At 53.1% G+C, this 23,307-nt stretch overlaps 2 annotated features.

The window, feature by feature from the left end:
- Positions 3,653–4,554: an enhancer, noted in NCBI's record as "H3K4me1 hESC enhancer chr11:69789289-69790190 (GRCh37/hg19 assembly coordinates)". NCBI's record gives its function as "activates a minimal SCP1, AML or CMV promoter by ChIP-STARR-seq in naive and primed H9 embryonic stem cells {active_cell/tissue: H9 hESC(naive and primed)}" and the evidence as "EXISTENCE:reporter gene assay evidence [ECO:0000049][PMID:30033119]".
- Positions 8,792–9,991: an enhancer, noted in NCBI's record as "P300/CBP strongly-dependent group 1 enhancer chr11:69794428-69795627 (GRCh37/hg19 assembly coordinates)". NCBI's record gives its function as "activates an origin of replication core promoter dependent on BRD2, BRD4, P300/CBP, MED14 and CDK7 cofactors, with strong dependence on P300/CBP, by STARR-seq in HCT116 cells {active_cell/tissue: HCT116}" and the evidence as "EXISTENCE:reporter gene assay evidence [ECO:0000049][PMID:35650434]".

The following is a 23,307-nucleotide window of genomic DNA, read 5'->3' on the forward strand; positions in this document are numbered from 1 at the left end:
CTCAGAGCTCAAAGCCGTAGAGGTTCTCAGGGCCTAGAGCCCGCGGAGGCGGAACCTCAAAGCCGTGTTCATGGACTCAGGGAATTTTCAGGCTCTGCAGAGACAGTCAGACTCCCCGGCCCAAGCACCCAGGGTGTGCTGAAAGTTTAGATGTCACGTCCCTAAAACGTCAGCCTGTCTGTTTCCAGCCCACGCCGCCCCAGGCTGGACTTTGGGAAGTTCTGAACAGCCCCAGCTTCGCTGCATTCCCCAACTCCCTGCAACCCAGCGTAAACAACTCTGCACTCAGCCGCTTGGAGAGGTTGCTAGGATATTATCGCTTTGGGAAATGCAGGAACCAAGTTTGGAGAGGCTGCACAGCAGAGGGAGGGGACACAGCTGCAAAGCGCCCATCCTCCAGCCAGGCCCTCTGGGGGTTCGCCGGACCCTTGGGTGCCCAGGGTCCGAGGCAGCGCGTGGCTCCCCACCTCCCCTGGCACCACCCACACCCCCTGGCCTGTGTGCTGTGAGAAGGGGTCACTCAGTTCTGGGAGAGCCCGTGGATAGCCGAGGCCTGGGCGCTGGGCAGACTCCCAGGCTCGTTAGCGTGGCCATCCCTGGCGTATTTCCGGCCACAGTGCGAGAATGGGGAATGTTCTCTTTCATGGGCAGTGACCCCAGGATTTGCCATTTCTTATGTTTAAAGCTTGCGTTGATGGTCTGGCTGCCACCAACATTCTTCCCCCAGAGATAATGAAGTACAAAAGCCGGATGAATGTGAGCTGGGGACCCAGAGCACCCAAGGAAGGACAAGGGAACTCAGAAGAGCGGTCACTGCCCATCCCCTCCCTGGCTGTGCCTGGTCTGAGGGGCTCCAGGGCAAATCTTTCCCATTCTCCGCAGGTGCTTCCTCGGAGCCTGCACACGCACCTGGCCCTTCTCCCTGGGTTGTCTTCCATCCACCCCAAAGCCTGTGTCCACTGGGCAGGTGGAACTTCTGCTTAGGAACCTGCCCAAAGTGGGAGGAAGCTGCCCCCTGTCGCCCCCATGACAGCAGGGACCACACTAGGCTGCAGCTGCCCCTGGTCTTGACTCTGTCCCCCTGACATGAGCTCTTCCTGCACGCTTCAATTTATATTCTCCTTAGTATTCCTAAAGCTCAGCCACTGCCCACCACAAATTTTTTGTTTATGGATGTCCAGAATCTATTCAATCATTTCTCCTGTTTGTGAATGTTGAGGTTGTTTTTTGTCACTACATAAAATGCTTCAATATGTATTTCTCCAAAGTGGGATTTGAGATTTTAAAACGTGCTTATTTTTATTAGGCGTGGCCAAATTAGATTCCAAGGATTATGTAGCCCAAGCAATATCGAGCAGTATCTGTTTCCCTTATACTCCCACCAGTCCTAGGTGATGCTGGTATTTTTTGTTTTTTTAGTTTTTATTTCCTGGTTGTGTGATCGGTAAAAACAATACATCTTCGTATCGTTTTGTTTTGTTTTTAATTTTTTTATTTCCATAGGTTATTGGGGAACAGGTGGTGTTTGCTTACATGAGTAAGTTCCTTAGCGATGATTTGTGAGTTTTTGGTGCACCCATCACCCAAGCAGTATACACTGCACCCAACTTGTAGTCTTTTATCCCTCACCCCCTTCCTACCCTTTCCCCCGAGTCCCCAAAGTCCATTGTATCATTCTTATGCCTTTGCATCCTCATAGCTTAGCTCCCACTCATGAGTGAGAACACACGATGTTTAGTTTTCCATTCCTGAGTTACTTCACTTAGAATAATAGTCTCCAGTCTCATCCAGGTTGCTATAAATGCCATTGCTTCATTCCTTTTCATGGCTCAGTAGTATTCCATCGTATATATATCCCACAGTTTCTTTATCCGCTCATTGATTGACGGGCATTTGGGCTGCTTGCACATTTTTGCAATTGTGAATTGTGCTGCTGTAAACATGCGTGTGCAGGTATCTTTCTCATATAATGACTTCTTTTCCTCTGGGTAGATACCCAGCAGTGGGATTGCTGGGTCAAATGGTCTTTCTACTTCTAGTTCTTTAAGGAATCTCCACACTGTTTTCCACAGCAAATTTTTACAAAAGATGGAAAAATAGTGGACTCCTGCTCTCAGCCCCAGAGGGGCCAATGTGAGTGCAGGGGAATCACAGGAATCCCAAGACCAAGCCGCCCGAGACTGGGCTGGGCTCCCTGGGGGTGGGGCTTCTCACCCTTAGCACTACTAACACTTGGGGCTGGAACCATCTTAGTTGTAGGGGGCTGTCCCGGCCTCTCCCCACTACATGCCAATGGTACCACCCAAGTTGTGACAACCAAAAGTATCTCCAGACATAGCCAAAGTCCCCAGGGGGCAACTTCTTCCTGATGAAGAACCCCTGACCTGAGCAGCCCACCCAATCCCTGGGAAGCTCCGCAGACCCCAGATAGCAGGAAGGAGGGAGGGAGAGAGCAAGGGTCCTGTCCGGATGTCAAGCTCTGCCTACCGAGGCCCTGGCTGGGCTGCTACCTCCCCACCCACTCAACACAGGAGCCGGAGGCTCCTTCTCAGGCCAAGTGGTTAGGGTTGAGTGGGAACGGCAGGGCTGAGTGCACAGTGCCTGTCTGGAGCCGGGCAGAAAAGCAAAAGGCCTTTACGGCAAAGGGGTGCATAGGAGTCGGCCGAAGGAGGGCTGACTCATTGGGGGAAGCCATGGCAGGGCCCCATGGCCCAGGACCACTGCCTGGGCAGCATCGTCAGCTCAGGGTACCCCCGTCCACAGGCGGTGACCTTGGAAAAATCAGCAGAGCAAAGGCCAGGGACAGCCAGTGAGGGGGAGCCATGGCAGAGCTCAGACACAGGTGGTGACCCTGGAAAAATAAGCAGAGCAAAAGCCAGGGAAAACCGGCGAAGGGGGGCCATGGCAGAGCTCAGGCCGCATTCATGCTGGAGGTCAGGACCAGAGCCTGCTGCCACCTGGCTCATCTCAGGAGGGAAAGTGGCTCTGCAGAGATGGCAAATGTGTCTGCTCTCCCCCACCTGCGCCACACTGCCCCGCAGCATCACTTCCCGCCCTACACCTGCCATGACTCCCTAGCTGCTCACCCCACCTCCATCCTGCCCCCTCCGATGCATGCCCCACCCCAAAAGCAAACCCTGCTATGCCTTTTGGAGGCTCACCTCCTGTCCTCTGCAGCCTTCAGGCCTCAACTCAAGTGTGCCCTGCCCTCCCCAGCAAGGACAAATGCGTGCAGGTGTTGGGGACCACTCTGTCTCCATCAACTCCAGATGTTGTTTTCCACGTTTGTGTACATTTTTGATCAATGTCTGATTTCCCATTGGATTTTAATCTCCAGGAAGGTAGGCTGGGCTGTGGTTTGCTAAACTGTCTATCTCCAGCACCAAATAGTAACTGTACCATAGGCTGGGCTCCACAGTCATTGGGTGGGTAAATGAATGGATTAAATAGGCGTGGACAAGGGCTGTCTCTCCTGGCTGCAGAGGGCAAGATTCCAGACTGCAGTCAGCTCTTGAGGGCACCATGCAGCCCAGACACTGGTGCCCCAAGCGGCTTCTCCTCTAGATGGTGGAAACCTTTGAAGGCCGGCGATGGCACTGGGGGACCATCTGTAGGACAGTGGGGAGCCTGAGGTCTCAGTTAGGTGTTGAGGCTGAGCCAGGTGTTGAGGCTGAGGTCTCAGTTTGGTGTTGAGGCTAGATCAGGTCTACTCCAGAGAAGGGAAGGCCACTAGGGGTCACCAAGGCTACTGCCGTGAATTCAGTCCACTGCTGAGACCTGGCAGAGGTTGGGTGAAACTAGTCTGGCAGGCAGGAAGCAGGGAACACAAAGGGATCCGTGAAAGTTGAGCTTTGTGAGTGGAATTCCTTCAGAGCCTGAGGCCTGAGGAGTCTCCCAGTGGCCTGTGTGAAAATGGGAAGTGGCGTGGGGGGAGTGGATGTTCCCACTGCACAGGGAGGAGACACAGAGGACAGGAAGCTTGCTCTGCCCAGGGTCCCTCCTGCCTCCTGGGGAAGCTGACCTGAGCGAGGTGGGGGCCACATCCAAGGGGCCCTGAGGCCGCCTCAGCCTGCTGCTGTTTCCCACGCCTCGTCCTCAGCTGCAATGGAGAGACCAGGTCCCAGGAGGGAGGCTATTACAGGGCTTGACCCAGGCAAACCCGGAAGCCAGTGCCGGGAGTCTCCGAGGACCAGCCCTGTGAGAACAACCGTAAAGACTCCCCGCTGAGAGGCTTAAGAGACTGCCTCAGTGCCCACTCTGTGTCTGCCGGGCACTGGCCCCAGAACAAGGCCCTGTCCCAGGCTGGCCCCCGGGCTGGCTTCAGATCTTGGTCCCAGGATCCTGGAAAGCCCTTCCCAACTTCAACCCTTGGGCTCCAGTCATTGAAAGAGAAGAAGCCCGTTCTCCATGGGTGTGCTGGAGGTGCTGGGGGTGCTGAGGGTGTTGTTTGAAGGTGGGAGCCAGGGGAGGGCCCTCTGGGTTCTTCCAGCTCAGCAAAGGGTGGGGTAACAGCATAGAAACGTGGTGTTCTTTTTGCATGACCAGGTGGAAGATTAAAATCGCCCCTGGTAGAAAGGAGTCTAGTCTTGCCAGTGCTGCAGATTCTCGGTAAGATAACTTCAAATGCTTCTGCCACCAAGTCTCCCGACAAACACACATCTCCCTGGAAATGCAGACTCCCACTGATAAAGCCATCAGCACCTCACATGACAATGGGGTCCCTCCTTTTTACTCACTCTGGAACTGTGCCTGCTCAGGAGCCTGCAGGGTGCGGACAGGGCAGGAGGGTCACCTCCCGACCATGTGGTGCCGCATGCTTAGTGTCTAGGGAATGGAAAGGGCTGGCAAAGAGTCAGGCCCCCAGACCCCAGCCAAGCTGCACAGGGTTTTGGAAGAGGCTCCTAGCCGGGGTGCAGAAGGGGCTGGAACACTAGAGGAACTGAGACAGAAGCCCCGTGAGCAGAATGAGCACACACAGGGGAGTTCACAAAGGCTGCTGTTCTCTAGGGCTCCGGAGGCCAAGGTCCTCACTAGACCAACCCTTGGCAGCACCAGCCGATCCACCACCTGCCAGTGCCAGGGGCTCTGGGCTCTGGGCTCCAGGTCAGAGAAGGCCGGGGCTGGGAGAAGACCTTATCCCCCACACCATGGAGGAAAGCACTCTCAGGACCCCACGCCTGCTGTCTGTGGGCCTTCCTTCTCTCTGGTCAGATGTCAGGACTCCCTGGAGCAAAATGGTAGCAGCAGTGGGAAGTCTTTCTCAGTGTCCTCTGCACCTTCCGTTGAATCCCCGCCTCCCTCCTTCCTCCAGGCCTCATCATCTCCTATAAGACAGGGCTGGCTCCACTGCCCCACCTGCTTTCACATTTCTGTCACTTGGTGGAACCATGTATCACGTTAAGCATTTGAAGTGATCTTACCAAGAATCTGCAGCACTGGCAAGACTAGACTCCTTTCTACCAGGGGCGATTTTAATCTTCCACCCGGTCATGCAAAAAGAACACCACGTTTCCATGCTGTCACCCCACCCTTTGCTGAGCTGGAAGAACCCAGAGGGCCCTCCCCTGGCTCCCACCTTTATTGAGGGACCTCAATAAAGAAAGATTCATTTTACAGTCAACAATAAGCACGAACAGTAGAGATGACAGGTGCCTAGCAAGTATTTGCTGGATGGGTAGAAGGAAGGAAGAAAGGAGAGAGGGAAGGAAGGCAAGGGAAGGGAAATGAGGGAGGGGAAGGGAAGGGAGAGAGGGAAGGAGGGAGGAAGGAAGGAAGGAAGGAAAAGAGGAAGGAAATGAGAGTAATGGATGGATGAGTGGGTGGATGGATATGTGGATGGATGATAGATGGCTGGCTGGATGGATTAATGGATAGCTATGTGAGTGGATGGATGAACAGATGATGAATGGATAGATGGGTGGATGGGTTGATGTGTGAATGAATGATGGATAAATGGATGGGTGGATATGTGGGTAACTGGATGGATGGATGGATGGGTGGGTGGATGGATGGATGGATGGATGGATGGATGGATAGATATGTGGGTAGATGGGTAGGTGAAAGGCTGGGTAGGTGAGTGAGTGAGTTATATGTTTCAGGGATGCTCCAAATCAGGGAAACCCAACATCATAGAAAGGTGCTTCACAGTGGACTAAAGACTAATAAAAGATACCTTCCAACAGCAAGATTGCTTATGGTTTTAATTTTCTTCTTTGTGCTCCTCTGTATGAAACAAAATGGGGAAACTCTACTTACCAGAATGCCTGCCGGGGAGTGCAGATGTAATTAGAAGGCATACTATGGTAAGCCACGGGGGCAGAGGTGGGAGGGACATGACCCCTCCAAGCTGAGGCTTAAGCTTTAACATGGTGGTACCCCTGCTCTGTTAATAGGGAGGCCTCTCAAGGAAGCAGGCTTATCTTTGCTGAAGGAGATTTGATATCATGTGGGGGAGCTGAGGACTTAGAGAAGAGGCACTTGGCAGGAGGTGGGCAGAGAAGGTGGAGCTCTGATGGCCACAAGAGGGAAACAAGAGTAAGGACTCTACCTGTGGTAGAGAAAAGATGTGTTTATGGGAATGTTTGAGGCCATTTGCCATGGAGTGCTATGTGCTCGTCTGTCTTTTTAGCTTGATGTCTTGTTGCTGAGGGGCTTAGCAACAGCAGGCATTTATTACTTACATTTCTGGAAGCTGGAAGTCCAGCACCAAGGTTCTGGCAGACACAGTGTCTGGTGAGGGCTCACTTACTCCATTCCTAGTTTGCAGATAGCCGTTGATATGGATTGGCTGTGTCCCCACCCAAATCTCATCTTGGAATTTTACTCCCATAATTCCCACGTGTTGTGGGAGGGAGTCGCTGGGGGATAATTGAATCATGGGGCAGTTTCCCCCATACTGTTCTCGTGGTAGTGAACATAAGTCTCATGAGATCTGAGGGTTTTATCAGGGGTTTTGGCTTTGGCTGAAGGGGATCTGACATCGTGTGGGGGAGCTTAGGACTTAGAGAAGAGGCACTTGGCAGGAGGCGGGCAGAGAAGGTGGAGCTCTGATGGCCACAAAGAGGGAAGCAAACAAAAACAGACACCTGTGGTAGAGAAAAGACGCGTTTATGGGGGTGTTTGAGGCCATTTGCCTTGGAGTGGCAAATTCTCTGTTTGTCTGCTGCCATCCGTGTAAGACAGGACTTGGTCCTCCTTGCCTTCCGCCAAGATTGTGAGGCTTCCCCAGCCATATGGAACTTAAGTCCAATTAAACCTCTTTCTTTTGTAAATTGCCCAGTCTTGGGTATGTCTTTATAGGCAGCATGACTAATACAGCTGTTTTCTCACTGTGTGCCCACACGGTGGGGAGAGAAACAGAGACAGAGACACAGAGACACAGGGACATACAGAGACACAGAGACACACACAGAGAGAGACACAGAGACACACAGACACACAGAGAGACACAGAGACAGAGACACACAGGGACACACAGAGAGACACAGAGACAGAGACAGAGAGACAGAGACACACAGAGACGGAGACACACAGAGAAAGCATTTCTTTGCCTCTCTTCTGGTAAGGACTCTAATCCCATCATGAGGACCACAAGCTCATGACCTCATCACCTCCCAAAGGCCCCACCTCCCAAACCCATCTCATTGAAGATTAGGGTTTCCACATATGAATGTTGGGGGTACACGAACATTCAGTCCATAGCAACTCTTCCCCTCTGTTCCTTTATTAATTATTAATTATTAATTATGAGTTATTATTAATTATCATAGTTAATTATTAGTTATTAATAATCATAATATTAATTATCTATTAATTATAATATAATTAGTTATTATTAATTATATTTTTAAATATATAATTAATTATATTATATTTTATATACAATATATTTTAATATATTTTTAATATATTTTAATATATAATTAATTATAATAATTAGTTATTATTAACTATAATAATTAATAATACAAGTATTAATTATAATAATTAATAATACAAGTATTTATTATGAATTATGAATTGAAAATTACTAATACAACCTAAATATAAAACCTCCAAGTTCAGAGTTTGCCTGGATTTCAGTGGAAGCCGCGCCCCCACATCGGTATGCATTTTGCCTTGCAGGAGAGTGCGGCACCTTAGGAGCACTGTTCTCAGCACAGGCACTGCACCTCTGCATCTTTGCATGATTTTCTGCTGGGTGGAAATGGTGTGTCTTGTAGAAGGAGCACTTTGATCTGACTTGCATAAAGTTGCCACAACTCTAGAAGCAATCTAGAGGCAAAGCCACCTTTCGTGTGAGCTCAAGACAGAATTCAGAAGCCTAGAGGCAGGGAAACCCACGCGTCCAGATTCCATCCTTCCCAAATGTTCTACATTGTGAAACAAAGAGATGAAAACCCGGAGAGGTCAGTGGTCCCGTTCAGGCCCATTGAATACTCTGAAACATTGGGGCAACCCCAAGGCTCTGAGCATTACAGCTCATGGAAATCTCCCAAGGGCCTCAGCTCTGAGTGACACCCATCCCAGTTCACCTGGGTGTTCCTTGGCACAGGGAAAATGGCCGGCCTCGCCCCATCCCATGGCACCCACCTGAGCTGACCGGCTCGGCCCTGCAGCCAGCGATGGCCATATCCAGGCCACACGCCCCAACCTCCTGTACTTCAGGATCCTTCGAGAACTTTCTTGAAATCCCTGGAGAGTCTGGTTCTGTGGGTCTATGAAAGGCCCTGGGTACTGGTGCTTTTTTAAAACTCCCTGGTATTTTTGACTCACAGCCAGGTGGAGCTGCGGTTCCTCCTGGTTGCCAGGGCAGCCTTTGCCCCTCACAGTGAGCGTGCACGTGGCGTCCCAGAGCCTGTGCTGGGTGGGCAATGCTGAGTCCACAGACAGCCTCAGCGAGCCCCCACCCTACTGCTCTCCTAGACGTGCCCACGAGTGAGTGCGGAGTAGCTTCCCCAGCCCTGCTCCCCACCGGCCTCCAGGTCCTGGGTCTTCCCTGCTGATCTGAGCCCCTCCATTGCCTGACACCAGCGAAGGGGGCACAACTTCACACTGGGCTCACTTCGTCAAGGGGACCCTGAGTCACCAGGGTGTGTCCAGAGAACAAAGACCGGGCAGGGGAGGGGCAGGACAGGACAGGGTGGCTCAAACTTCCAGGAGCGCTGGGCTGGAGGCCTCCTGATATCTGCGAGGCTGACTCACGGTGGAGGGAGCAGCCGGCTGTGCTGTCCTCATGAGCAGGAGTGGCCGTGATAAGGGACAGATTTTAAACGATTAGAGAAAGAGCCCTCTGGCAGCCTGTGCTGCCCGGCCTCCTGGAGGAATGAGGCCCCATCCCTAGAAGCGTGCCAATAAGGAGGGGTGACGGTGACCCACCCGAAAGGGGGATCTGAGAGAGTGTAATGAAGGGACTATTATAAAAGGTGTGAGCAGAGAAAGGGGAAACCCAAGGAAGGGGGCGTGCCCAGAGCCCCCCCACTGGCAGCAGCAGGTGGGAGCTGTGGAGTCTTTCATCCCAAAGGGGGCCGAACAGGCTGGAGCCAGGCTGGAGGAAGGACCACCCAGGAGAAGCCACCTCCTTTAGCAAAGGAACCAGGCCATGGCAGACAGGGAGCCAGGGACACATTCCTCAACTTCTCTCTCCCCTGAAAATTATTCTCCCATCAGCCAAACTGAACAGAGGACACAGGGCAAGGAGGATGTGGGGGCATGCACAGCCCTGTAGGTCAGCGCCCAGGGCACAGGGCTGGGGAGGAGGGTGGAGGGTGGCTCTTAGGGACCTGGGGTGGCCCATTAAGTCCACTGCTGGGAAGAATTTGGGGTAAACCAGGCCCTGGCTCCTAGCAGGATCAGGATGCGGAGCAGAAGCTCACGGATGTGGCCATCTTCCCGGGCACATGCACTGCTTTGGAATTGGCCATCGGGGCTTATGGGTCAAGTTGGACTTGCTGGGTGATGTCACCCCCAGTGCAAAGAATCAGGCTCCCCACCGGGGACTTCTTGGTGACTCACACAGGCCAGCCCTCTCCCGGAGTGGTGAGGCAGCTCTTTGGATGACAAACTGGGCAGGAACAATGAGACAGTGTGGGCCTGCATTCCTGAGAATGAAGGGATTTCCCTTCCAAGTGCAAGGCTGTCCTGTGCTGGCCTCACCCATGACCCTACTCTGCCTCTGGGTGCTGCAGTGTGGCAGGTGCCCACACTGGCCCCCAGAAGGGCTGGAAGGAGGCAGGGAGGCTGGCTTATTGGCTCACCATTCAGCCCATGGAGCCAGGAGACCCTGAGAGTGACCGAGGGACCTTGTCGAACACTTTGGAAAGTCACAAGAACTGGATGCGGCTGACCAAGTTCCACAGGTCATGGGGGAAGAGAGAGAGAGCTGTTTGCTTCAGCAGGAAAATGCATCCCAGGAAAACAAAGTGCCGGGTCCAGCACCCACACACGTGCAGCCCATGGGGATACGACTAGCAGAATGACTAGGACCCACCTAGATATGGGTGCAGTCGCTTCCTAAACAATCGATTCATTTTCCAATTCATTGTACCATCATTGCCCATCTTAGCTGGAAGCCTAGACTCTTCCTCCTGAAGACTCACCCACTGATGTAGACCGTCCAAGAACATTAGGACTTACACAGCCCATAGGATTCACTCTGATTTCCAAGCCAAAGACAGAGGGCACTAGACCATCAATCCACAGAGCCCCTGGTTTGACCGAGGTTGTTTCTGTTGCCACCACAGGGTGTCGCTGTTGAACACTGGGTTGTGCATCCAGGCTCCCTGCCATGGGGGGACCTGCTCAGGCCCTCCTGGTGCCCCATGCTTGGCTCCAAAGGGCTGTGGATTCAAGGCTCGCCACTGTTCCCCATCAGGAGCCCCCATCGCTACATAGGCAGGACCAACTCCCTGCAACCTTGTGCTCAGCTGGGAAGCCGGTGGGTGGGGTCCCGTTGAGCACTGTGGGTTCTCAGGGCCCTCTACTGTCCGTGAACCTCAGTTGGAACCATTCTAGTCCATCCAAGAGTCTCTTAAGGGGGCCAGGGCTCCTACTCCCATCCCACCAAGAGGCTCCTTGCTCCCTGGACAGATCTGGCCACGTCCTTCCCAGCAACCAGCTCAACAGGGGTCCTGGAGAGAAGGAGATTGTCAGGCACAGAAGGTTCTGCTCTCATCCTCTCCAGACCCCACAGACCTAGCCTTTCTCCACGCCACCACTCTCTTTATCCCTCCAGTCAGAAAAGCAGATAGCACCTTCCCACCCTTCACCACAATAAAAAAAAGTGACATTTCACTCCACCTGACACCCTGCCAGTTGGAACTGAAGTCTGACGCTGATGATAACGGCCTGGATCCTGAGTTCTGGGAGTAGGACCCTGGGTTGGAGGTGGAGGAGGAGTAGGGGAAGCTGGGCAGGGAGAGGCACCGGGGGAAGGGAAGAGAAAGAGGAGGAAGAACAAGTTCTCCTTTCCTCAACTCAGGACCGCACTATTAGGAACATTTTGAAACAGAAGAAATGGGACTTTGTCCTCCTTCCTCCTTTATTTGGCAGTTTTGTTTGTCCCAGTGCTGCTTGCTCAAGCTCCCACGGGTAGCACTCACCTTCCTCCGTGTCCTGGGATCCCAGACACACCCCAAGAGAGCCTGTCCCAGCAGTGCAGGGCATCTTCATTTGGGTGTTAGCAGGAAAGCACACTGCACAAACAAATTCACACTAAAGTGAGAGTGGCTGATAGATAGTGACCCCTCTAAGAGCTAGGAGCATTCTCTACAGAAGTGGTTTCAGAGCCTAATTATTCACTAATTGGTGGGCTTCACACCCAAGTCAAAGGAAACATGGGCAGTGTTGGGGGGATACCTGGAGGGGGTGGGTGGAGCAGGTCACCCCTGGAGCCACAGCCTCAACATCACTCCTGCTCTTTGTGAGTTCCTTCCTCCTCTCGCCTCTGCACCGAATGTTTCTGTCCTGGCCCCCCATGAGGATAGGGGGCCCAGGTAGGATGGTGGACAGGTGGCCCTGGACTGAGGCCTCGAGGGACTGAGCTCTGGGCAGGTCAAGGGGATGCTGGCCTCCACACCAGAGACCCTAAAAGGACTGCCTTCTGTGGACCCTGAACTCCGCAGCACCATCCTGAGATCCTCGCTGCCCCCAGAAGACCCTCCGTTTTCACCGAAGTGAACTTGGCCAGAGTTAAGCTGCCCAGGAGTAGCATCCGGAGACTAATTTGAATTCCCAATGCCCCACCCATCCTCAGTGGTGGATCCAAAGTGGACAGAGCCTGCCTTTACCCATAGGGAAAACCACAGGGCTCATACCTCCCTGGGCCCCAGGAGCTCAAGCCCTTCTCAGCCTCCCTTGGACAGTTTCAGAGACATGGGGGTCACTCGAGTGACGCAGGGCCAGCCTTGCTTACAGAAGCCCATGACTCACCATGGTGGCGTCCGTGAAGGGCTCCCTGACCAACGTGGGCTCCTTCTCACAGGACCCTGCCTTCGGGGGTCAGGGACACGACCACCAGCTCCCCACCACTCGGCACCCCTGTCTCCTGTCAGCTGGGAGGTGGGCAGAGGGCCCCTCTGTCAGCTGAGCCCAGTGTCCTGGCATCTCCTGACTCAGGGTCAGGTCAGGCAGGTGAAGGCCCCACAGATGTCTAGGAAGCACCTGGTCTGCCTGGGCCAGGGCAGGGGTGGGCAGAGCCAGGCTCACTGAATCAGTCACTCAGATTCTCAGAGCTCCAGGTGCCTCATCTGGAGAACAGGGAGAATGAGAGCACCTCTCTGAGGATCCACGCCAGAACCCAATAGCCAAAGGGATTCACAGGAGCAAGGGAGGGTGAGTGAGGTCTGCAGCCCAGCAGGCAGACGGGGCGAGAGCCCGCGCGCCGTGAGCACAGCCAAGCACCGAGCTCATGTACCATATACGGTTTACGGGGTGAGAAGAGCTGGTGGGCTGTGAGCACAGCCAAGCACTGGGCCCATGTACCATACACAGTTTATGGGGTGAGAAGAGCTGGTGGGCCGTGAGCACAGCCAAGCACTGGGCCCGTGTGCCATACACAGTTTATGGGGTGAGAAGAGCTGGTGGGCCATGAGCACAGCCAAGCACTGGGCCCATGTACCATACACAGTTTATGGGGTGAGAAGAGCTGGTGGGCCGTGAGCACAGCCAAGCACTGGGCCCGTGTGCCATACACAGTTTATGGGGTGAGAAGAGCTGGTGCGCCGTGAGCACAGCCAAGCACTGGGCCCGTGTACCATACACACAGTTTATGATAAGAAGACGATGAGTGTGGTCATTATGGTTTCCCTGTTGTGGAGCAGGCAGATGAACAGGCAGCTCTAAAAAACAAGGAAAGATTTGAGAAGAGAGAGAGAGACAGAAGCAGACAGAGAGAGACACACACAGAGGGAGACAGAGAGACAGAAAAAGAAACAGAGACAGAGATAGCGAGAGAGAGAGAGAAACAGAAATACAGGCATAGAGAGACAGGGACAGAGAAAAGGAGAGACAGGTGAGAGACAGAGACTGAGATCGAGAAAGAGACAGGGACAGAGCAAGCTAGCCAGGGAAGCCCAGAACCCTTACAAGGAGGGTCTCCCAGATGGGGAAGGGGGAGAGGGACGGCATCATCTTCACAGACAATTCGGCGCTGGAAAAGACCAGCTTGAAGAGGAAGCGGGGACTTCTGAACTGTGGGAGAGGCATGTTGAAGCCCACATGGTTTGTCTTGGTGGCCAGGGGTTCCCCAGCAAAAGAGAGCCATGGTTAGGGTGAGGGAAATGTGGATGGGCAGGAGCCCATGCAGGAGCAGAATGTATTTTATCCTGTGGGGATGAGGAGTCCCTGAAATCATGAGCCAGCAGCACCTTTGGATGGAACAATCCAGTTTAGAGCTGGAGCTTTGCTGGCAAGACTGGAGGAGGGATGGAGGCTGAGTGAAGTCCGCAATCACAGCGCAGCTGGGCAAAGCAGGTGGTGCAGGAATGAACGCTGTGCTGAGGGACCTGAATCCTGGTGGAGGGAAGGCCCAGGCTGCTCCACTCTCCGGGGCAGAGGAGAGGCGGGAGGGAGCAGACACCTCGGTGCCCCACCTGTCACAGGGCACCCAGGTAGCAAAGTGGTCTCCTGTGTTGTGGCGCGAATGAATGGATGCATTTACTGGAGAGACATTCATAAGCAAAGAGCCCTGTAAGAAGGCAGATGAAAATCGGGCCAGCCTGGCTACATGGTTTGCAGGGCCCAGTGCAAAATGAAAATGTGGGGCCCCTTGTTCACAAAACAGAGAAAAGAAACATGACTCAAGGCACAAAAGTAGACAGCTTTTTCCTCTCATCTGCAGCCCCTTTCTTGGCTTCTTATGATGTTTTTTTGTTTGCCTTTCCTGTTGTCATAGAGCAAAGTTAAAATGTTAAATGATTGGCATGCATCTCAGCATGCTCATGTTTACCTTGCAAGATGCAACTAGAAGAGCATTTAACACACGTGTAGAATCATGGAAATTACACCATTCGGATCTCATAGCTCATACATACCTATATATTTTATTTATTTATTTTGAGACCGAGTTTCACTCTTATTGCCCAGGCTGGAGTGCAGTGGCACGATCTCGGCTCACCGCAACATTTGCCTCCTGGGTTCAAGCGATTCTCTTGCCTCAGCCTCCCGAGTAGCTGGGATTACAGGCATGCGCCACCACGCCCAGCTAATTTTGTATTTTTAGTAGAGATGGGGTTTCTCCATGTTGATCAGGCTGGTCTCGAACCCCGACCTTAGGTGATCCACCCGCCTCGGCCTCCCAAAGTGCTGGGATTACTGACGTGAGCCACCACGCCCAACCTGTTTTTTTGGTTTTTTTTTTTTTAGACAGGGTCTCACTCTGTCTCCCAGGCTGGAGTGCAGTGGCGTGATCTTGGCTCACTGTAACCTCCACCTCCAGGATTCAAACAATTCCCCTGCTTCAGCCTCCCAAGTAGCTGGGACTACAGCACCCGCCACCAAGCCCACCTAACTTATTTCGTGTTTTTAGTAGAGACAGGGTCCCATCATATTGGCCAGGCTGGTCTCGAACTCCTGACCTCAAGTGATCCGCGCACCTCAGCCTCCCAAAGTACTGGGATTTCAGGTGCAAGCCACTATGCCCGGCCTACCTGTGTATTTTAGATTCTGCAAGAGTAGTGGAAGCACAGCAGAAAATCATCTCAGCTGTTTTTATTTCACTTCTTTTCCGTCCCCTCTAGGTCACCATTTCCAGTGTCAGGGGCCGGCTAGCAGTAAGAAATGACAGGATGGCCTGCTTGGTCGTCTGTGTTTCTTAGAACTCTCTTGCCTTCTTCTGTGAATTCTGGCTTGAGTGGAATACGTGGCCCGAGGGGCTGTTAGGGTCCCGGGCACTCAGCCTTCGCACACTGACCTTGTCCTCACTTTGGGCTCCACTGAACGCCCAGGCATCGCGGGTGCCTCGGACTCTGTGCTTTATGAGTATTTGTACCAGGGACGCTGTCTGCAAATGGGTGGCAGTGAAGGGTGAACATCTTTGCACACCTGTATCCTTTGCTCTCGTGCACCCTCCATCAGCTCTCACTCAAAACCACAAGGTCAATGACAAAGTAATTAAGAGCTTGCTGAGCATGAAACCAAGCGTAGGGCCTGCCTGAGGCAGGGCTCTCTGGGACTGCAGGGGTCCCACGCCTGTGAGGCCGGCTCTGAAATGAGGCATTCTTCTCCTTACCTCTTGGGACCCCCTGGTCTGTGTGCAAGGCCAATGGGCTTACCTGAGATCCGTGTGCCTTTGGAGCCTATCTAGGTCAAAAATCCTATAAACGATACGCTCCTCCGTTAATGAGTACAGTTACTTCCCATTGGGTAAAATTAGGAGCACAGATTTAATTTAATATCTTTCTTTCTTTTTTTTTTAACATCAAGGTTTCTAGACCTAGTAGGTTCTTATTTTAATTTCAATCTGCTTTTATCCAAATCCCTGAAGACCAGGAGGAGAGCCGGCCCACATCTCCAACAAGCTTTGGTATGGGGTGGAAGGCGGAGATATGCGAGAGAGAGAGAGGAGGAAAAGAGAAAGCGTGGACCGGGAGCGGTGGCTCACGCCTGTAATTCCAGCACTTTGGGAGGCCGAGGCGGGTGGATCACCTGAGGTCAGGAGTTCAAGACCAGCCTGGCCAACATGGTGAAGCTCCATCTCTACTAAAAATACAAAAATTAGCCGGACATGGTGTAATCCCAGCTACCCGGGAGGCTAAGCCAGGAGAATCGCTTGAACCCAGGAGGCAGAAGTTGTAATGAGCCAAGATTGCACCACTGCACTCTAGCCTGGGCGACAGAGCAAGACTCTGTCTCAAAAAAAAAAAAAAGAAAGAAAGAAAGAAAGAAAGAAAGAAAGAAAGAAAGAAAGAAAGAAAGAAAGAAAGAAAGGAAAGAAAGAAAGAAAAAGAAAAGAAAGAAAGCAAGAATAGAAGGACATACCAAATAACTCGTGGGCAGAGGCAGGCACTTGGTAAGAGAGAGAGCAGGGGGCAAGCACAGGCTGGTCTGTGCAGGGAAGGAGGTCCTGGCAGAGGTGTGGTGGGGAGGGTCTGCAGAAGCCCAGACACACTTGGGCCAAGGTCAGGCCGGGTGAGGCCAGTCCATACCCACCAGGACGAATGAGGGAGCTGCCAGGTCCTCTGCAGGGCCTCCTTCGCACCCCATTTTTAACAGGGAGAAGTCAAAGCTGTTGCACAGCACCAGCGTGTGGCTCGTGCACCCTGGTGTTTGCAGATGCCTGCATCGGCGGGGCAGGCAGCCTGAGCACAGCTTGCGGCATTTATTTATCCTTTCAGCTTTAATGCATGAGCTTCCTGAGAAGAGACTGAAGGCTGTGGGATGGTGCATTCCTGGACGCTGGCATCACAGCTGAGGACCGGGCAAGGGTTGCAGGCACAGCTGTCACCAGGAGACAAATCAGTCTACTCCGGAGGCAGCCAGCTCTGCCACCTCTGACTCCTGGAACGGCTCAGGGGTGGAGCGGTGTGCAGAGGGAAGACCCGAATGTAGAAGCGCCTCTGTGCCCAGCACCACGGCCTCCTTTCTCTTCCTCCCCAGACGTTTCCCAGACTGTCTCCTTTGTTTTCATCATGGCCCTAGGAAGGACCAGGGACAGCTGGCGTTCACCGAGGGATGCCCGGCCACCTTTTGGCACATTTACACTCACAAACTTCTCTCTGCTGTGCAGCAGCCCTGGGAAGGAGGCGCCCTTATTGCCCCTATTTTACAGATGGGGAAACCGAGGCTAGTCAGTGAGGAAAGCAGGATGCGAGCCAGGCTGCCAGCCCAGTCAGTGGGAGCAGAAGCCTCCTCCGGGTGTTGGGCCTCTCAGTCCCCCACTTACAGGCCCAGGGGCACACAGCTGACAGTGGCTGGGGAGGAGCCAAACCTGGGTCTGGCACCAAAGTCAGGACTCCTTCCCCCAAACCAGATGGCCAAGGAGGCATGGCCCCTAAGATCACAGTGAGGAAGGGGTGACCGCACACTCCCCTCCACTCTTTCCCAGCAGGCCAGGCCCCAAGCTCCCCTTCCTTCATCCAGCCCAGCATGGCAGTGGGAGGGTGCCCTGGCCCTTCAGCTGCTGCTGGTTCCAATGGCTCCCACCCCAGCCTGCAGGGGCAGCTCAGATTTCCCTCCCCCTGCCTCTGACAAACACAAACCTACCTTCTGTCTCTATGGATTTGCCTATTCTGGGCATGTCATATAAATGGAGTCATGCATTGGATGGTCTTTTGCGACTGGCTTCTTTGAGTTGCACAGTGTCTTATAGGTTCATCCATGCTGTGCCCCATGCCAGTGCATTATTCCTTTTTTGTGGCTGAATAACACCCGACTGTGTGGATGGGCCACATTTTGTTTCTCCATCCATCCATCAATGCACACTTGGGTTGCTTTCACCTTTTGCCCGCTGTGAGTGGTGCCGCCATGAGCATTCATGTAGCAGCTTTGGTTTGAATGTCTAACAAGGCATCTAACGGGACGCCTGCCTGTCTTTGATTCTTTGGGGTATACACCTAGGAGTGGAATTTCTGGGTCATAAGGTAACTCTATGTTTGACTTATTGAGGAAGCACCAATCTGTCTTCCACAGTGGATGCACCATCTTATATTCCCCCGCCACCCACCCCACAGAAAAGGTATCTGAAAAGCTTCCCTTGCAGAGCTGCTGGGGAGACTATTAGCAACAGGTCAAAGCCTCTGCACTTTGCATCTAACAAATGGTGGAGAGTGGCTGGGGGGTGGTAGGACCAGCTGTGCAGGCACCCATCTACGCTCAAGCTCTAGCTCCAGCACTCCCAAGCTGTGTGCCCTCAAGCAAGTTACCCAACCTCTCCGAGCCTCGGTTTCCTTGTCTGTTCAATAGGGCTGTTGTCAGGACTGAATGAGCATGCGAAGTGCCTGCATCAGCTCCGGCCCATGGCCAGTGTTCCCCAAGCCTTGGCTCTCTGTACTCTTCCCAAGATGCTCAGCACCAGGGACTTCCTCTCTCTCTTTCACAGCCTCTTATCTTGTCCTGCACCTCTGGTGACCAGCACCAGCACCTTGCAGAGAAGGAGACAGTTCAGAGAGGTCATGTGGCTCACCCAGGCCACACTGCAGCCCCAAACTGTGACCAGATCCGCTGCTACCTCCTTTCCCTTCTGAGCTCAGCCTCCTAAGCCATTACCGCAGCAGAAACCGGAGCTCCGACATGGTGCTTAGAGTGACTGTTTAATGCCCATAAAATCCAAGGAACTCAATAATCCCAAATAAGGTCTCCTATGCATTCCCCCAGGATCCCAGCCCAGAAGGCAGAACCCGGGACGGTCTTAGAAGGGGAAAAACACTACACTTCAATTTTTCTCAAGTCTCTCAGTGTAAGACAGCTATGATGGTATCTCTAGGTCCAAACAAAAGCATCTAATGGGATGCCTGCCAAACCCTGCTAGCTTCAGGCATTCTTGCAGACAATTCAAAATAACCACATAATGTGTAGGAAAATGATAAGCAGGGTTCAAGTTTAATGGGCAGAATGAAATCCACTGTTCTTAGTTATGGGAAGGGTTTTTGGAAAAGGAGCAACTCTCAGATCAGATGTTTGTACCATGAGAGCCTCTCTACTTAATCACTTAATGACCAGGATTTTTTTAAGTTTCTAAAGAGATGTTTCTGGAAACCCAACAACCTCATCTCAACCAAGAATGAGCCCAGCCCAGCCAGGTGCAAGCTCCACTGTCCTCAGGGAGGCAGGGATGTCGGGACTGGTGGGGGTGGGGGGTTTCTGGCCTCCTCAGACTCAGACACCCCACAGCCTCTCAACACTGAGACTAGCCTGGAATATCCAAATCCAGGTCCTAGTGCCACCCCTTCACCAAGAGGCGATTTTGGTCAGTTGCTTAATTTCTTCAGGTGTCAGTTTTCTTACCAGCTAAATGGGTGTAAGTGGGTTTAAATGTCAAATGAGAAATTGAGGTTTGTAAAAGGGCCAGGCATCCTTTGAAGCTTTAGGAAGTGTCCACTGTCCAGCATCTTTATCATCATCAAGGTCACCTCCTTCATTTGACAGATGTTGGGGCACAGGCTCAGTGGCATGTGATGGCTCAGGCAACATCTCAGGTCATGGTGGAGATAAGGCAGCTCTGCATGCCAGGGTGGGGCTGCCTCCAGAACCCTCTGCTCTCCCACACTGCTCACCTGGTCTCAGCTCTGCCCCAGGTTTTTCACTTGTTTTGTCGTGACAACACACCCCAGAATATGGACCCGAGCATCACCTTATTCCACAGATGAGGAAACCAGAGTAAGGAAGTAAATAACGTCTCCAGAATCACACGGCTCACAAGGGACAGAGCAAGGATGGGAGCTGGGCATTTCTCCTCCCTGCCCCTGACACACGTGGGTCAGCCCAGCTCCATCCAGAGAGGAGGAAGAGGCAAGGCTGGCCTCACCGGGGGCTGGAGCCAGCAGCCGAGCCCCCAGGAGGCACTCCTGGCCTGGAGGTCAGGCCCTGGCAGGCTTCATCCCCAGCTGCGAGGCTGCTCTGGGGCGAGCCTCTGCAGCTGACGTTTCACTGTCCCAGAGCAGGTGGTGCAGGTAGCTCTGTCTGCTTACCCGGCCATTGCCAACTGTGGCCCGGCAGATGGGGTTCTAGGGAAGTGAGCAAGGCTCGGGCACTGGAGCAGCCAGGGTGGCACTTGGAGGGCTGCTCCAGGCCCTGCCAGCTTGTCATTCACTGGGGGCTCCCTTTTCTCCCAGGAAAAATGCCAAACTCCTCCCTGTGGCCTGTAGGGTCCTGCATGGGTGCCCCCATGCCTGCTTCCTCTCCCTCTTACTGCAGCCACACTGGGAGGCTTCCTTCAGTTCTCTAATGGATCAGTCTCCTTCCATCCACAGGGCCTTTGTGCCTGCTGTTTCTTCTGCCTGGAATTCCCATCGCCTCTTTGCCTCGCTAAGTCATTGTGTCCTTCCATTTGCAGCAACAACTTCCTTCTCTGGTATAGCAAGTCCAATAGTGGCCCCCCAAAAGACACGTTCAAGTCCTAGCTCCTTGTCCCTGTGAATATCACCTTATTTGGAAATAAGGTCTTTGCAGATGTCATTGAGGTAAGGACTACGAAATGAGATAATCCGGGATTAGGGTGACCCCCTACATCCAATAATGGCTGCCCTTGTAAGGGACAGAAAAGAATAAGACTTGGAGAGACATGCGGGGAAGGCTGTGTGATGCTGGAGGCAGATCAGACCCACATGTCTGCAAACCTGGATGGCCGAGGATTGCCGGCTACCCCCAGAAGTTGGAGCGTGGCCTGGAACAGAGCTTCTAGAAGGAACCCACCCTGCCGGCACCTTGATTTTGAGCTTCCAGTCTTCAGAACTGTTTAAACTGCCCAGTTTGTTGTGATTTGTTATGGCAGCCACAAGACATGAACACACTTGGAGACTGCCCTACAGTGACCAATCAGCCGGTTTTCCAGGATGAAGGGGGTTCTCTGAGATGTGGAACTCTCAGGGCTAAAACCAGGATGGTCCCAGGCAGAGCGGAATGGTTGGTCCCCATAGCCTGCCCTTACCACTCCTTTCTGGCCACCAAGTTTATGATAGCCCCCATTTCACACACCCGCAGCTCTGTGGGCGTCTTTGTGGTGCTTGTGGTCGTTACAATTAATTAGCTCATTGCTTTCATAATTATTCACACTGTAGTGGTCCTCACTAGAAAGTGAGCTCCTCGAAGCAAGGCCCTTGCCTGTTCCTGTCCCCCCACTGCCTAGTATAGCACTGCAGAGCTCAGGTGCTCTGGGAAGCTTTACCAGAATGAAATAATGAGGAGACTGGATCTCCTGGATGCCAAGGGGCAGACACAGGGTGGAGGAGGATGCCCCAAGGCATACAGTTGGTGCTCAGCTGTGGGAAATGTTTCACAGTATGGGGAGCTGGCCGAAGATGATCAAGCTGTGAGGGAGGTGGTGAGCGCCACGTCCCTGAAAGCATTTCAGTAGAGGCTGGGAGATGTCACGTGGCACAGCCCATGCTGGGGAGAGCTGCAACCAATGCTCTCTGAAGTCCCCCTCAGATCCCAGGATTATGTAAGAGTCCCACTCTGAATGCTGAAAACAGGGGAGGACAATTGGCCTGGGGCAGGGAGCACAGTGCAGGGGGTCATGGGGAGGGCTGGGTGTCCAGAGAGGACAGAGTGAGGATGCCAAATGGTGACAGTGGGTTCAAAGGCATCACTGCTGGGAGGGGCCAAAGACGGGAAGCTGAATAATAGTTCAAGCTGGACCCACTGTGAAGGTGAAAAACCAGCAGCAGAGGGTAAACTCACTTGTCCTTTACCCTGGAAATTGGATCTGGGGTCCTTACCTCACTTTTGCAGAGCTCCTCATAGTTCCCAAAGTACTTTTATGCACTGTCCTAGGCAAAGGAAACTTGTTCATTTTCCATGTAAAAATCCCAGGGTAGGCCTGGCCCGGTGGCTTACGCCTGTAATCCCAGCACATTGGGAGGCTGAGGCAGGTGGATCACCTGAGATCAGGAGTTCGAGATCAGCCTGGCCAATGTGGTGAAACCCCATCTATACTAAAAATACAAAAATCAGCCAGGTGTGGTGGCACACACCTCTAATCCCAGCTACTCCGTAGGCTGAACAGGAGAATCACTTGAACCCAGGAGGCAGAGGTTGCAGTGAGCCAAGATCGCACCACTGCACTCCAGCTTGGGCGACAGAGCAAGACTCTGTCTCGAAAAAAAAAAAAAAAATCCTAGGATGCACGAATGAGGATGGGTGCGCCCGGTTTCAGACACAGGCTTCTCACGTTTTGCCGCTCTGCGTTGCGAAGTCTCCATGCTCAAAGCCACTTCATGGCTTCATGATCCCAAATGGCTGCTGTGGCTCCGGCCATCACAGCCCTGCCTCAGCCAGAAGGCACTGGGAGAGGAAAGGGGAAGAGAATGCCCCTTTCTTTAGGATACTTCCTGGAAGCTGCACTCTCCTGTGCCATTAAAATGAACTGTAAGTGAAATAATAGGGAATTCTGGAAAATTTAGGTGGCCTTTTGTCATTTAATGTATTAATTAATCCCACCATCAATTTCGCACTACTGGCCTCTCTGCAATACCGATTCATCTTAGGAATTTCTCACTGCAGCCCTCCCAGGCAGGTCCCAGCAAGCCTACTTTACAGATGAGGAAACAGAGGCTAAGGAAGAGCTGACTTGCCTGTGGCCCCCACCGGGGGACGTGGCCCCCACTCGGGGACATGGCCAGACTGAAGGCTGAGCCCAGGGCTGGCGGATGCAGACCCCAGCTCCACCCCGCCCATTGCTTTGTGATGTCCTCCCGCATCCAGGCCACCCAATGAGTCATGGCCCCTTTGTACTTCCTCTTCCCTTCCGTGAATCACACTGTCCCCCGCCCCTGGGGCAGTGGTTCAGTCCATCCCAGATTGTCCCTTAGAGGAAACACCCAGGGATGGGAACAGCAACTGAGCCTACAGAGACCCCCATGATGGCTCCGACCTGAGGAGAAGGGCCCCCAGCAATAGACCACCCCTCAAGAGATGGCCACCAGGGAAGACCGCTTTTCCAGAGAGGCACAAGGGACTGTCCTATGCCTGCACCAAGGGGATCAGGCAGCTGGCCCCACAGGGAACTTGCACGGGGCCCTCTCTGGGCAGCCTCCTCAGCAGATAGCTACTCCTGGTGGGGAAGGAGAGTCCTCTGCTTGGTTCCCAACAGGGCCCAAGTTCAAGCCCCAGGGGCTCAGCACAACAGCCCCTCCAATGGAAACCCATCATCCC

Source organism: Homo sapiens, chromosome 11 (genome assembly GCF_000001405.40).
Source record: "Homo sapiens chromosome 11, GRCh38.p14 Primary Assembly".
Taxonomy (NCBI): domain Eukaryota; kingdom Metazoa; phylum Chordata; class Mammalia; order Primates; family Hominidae; genus Homo; species Homo sapiens.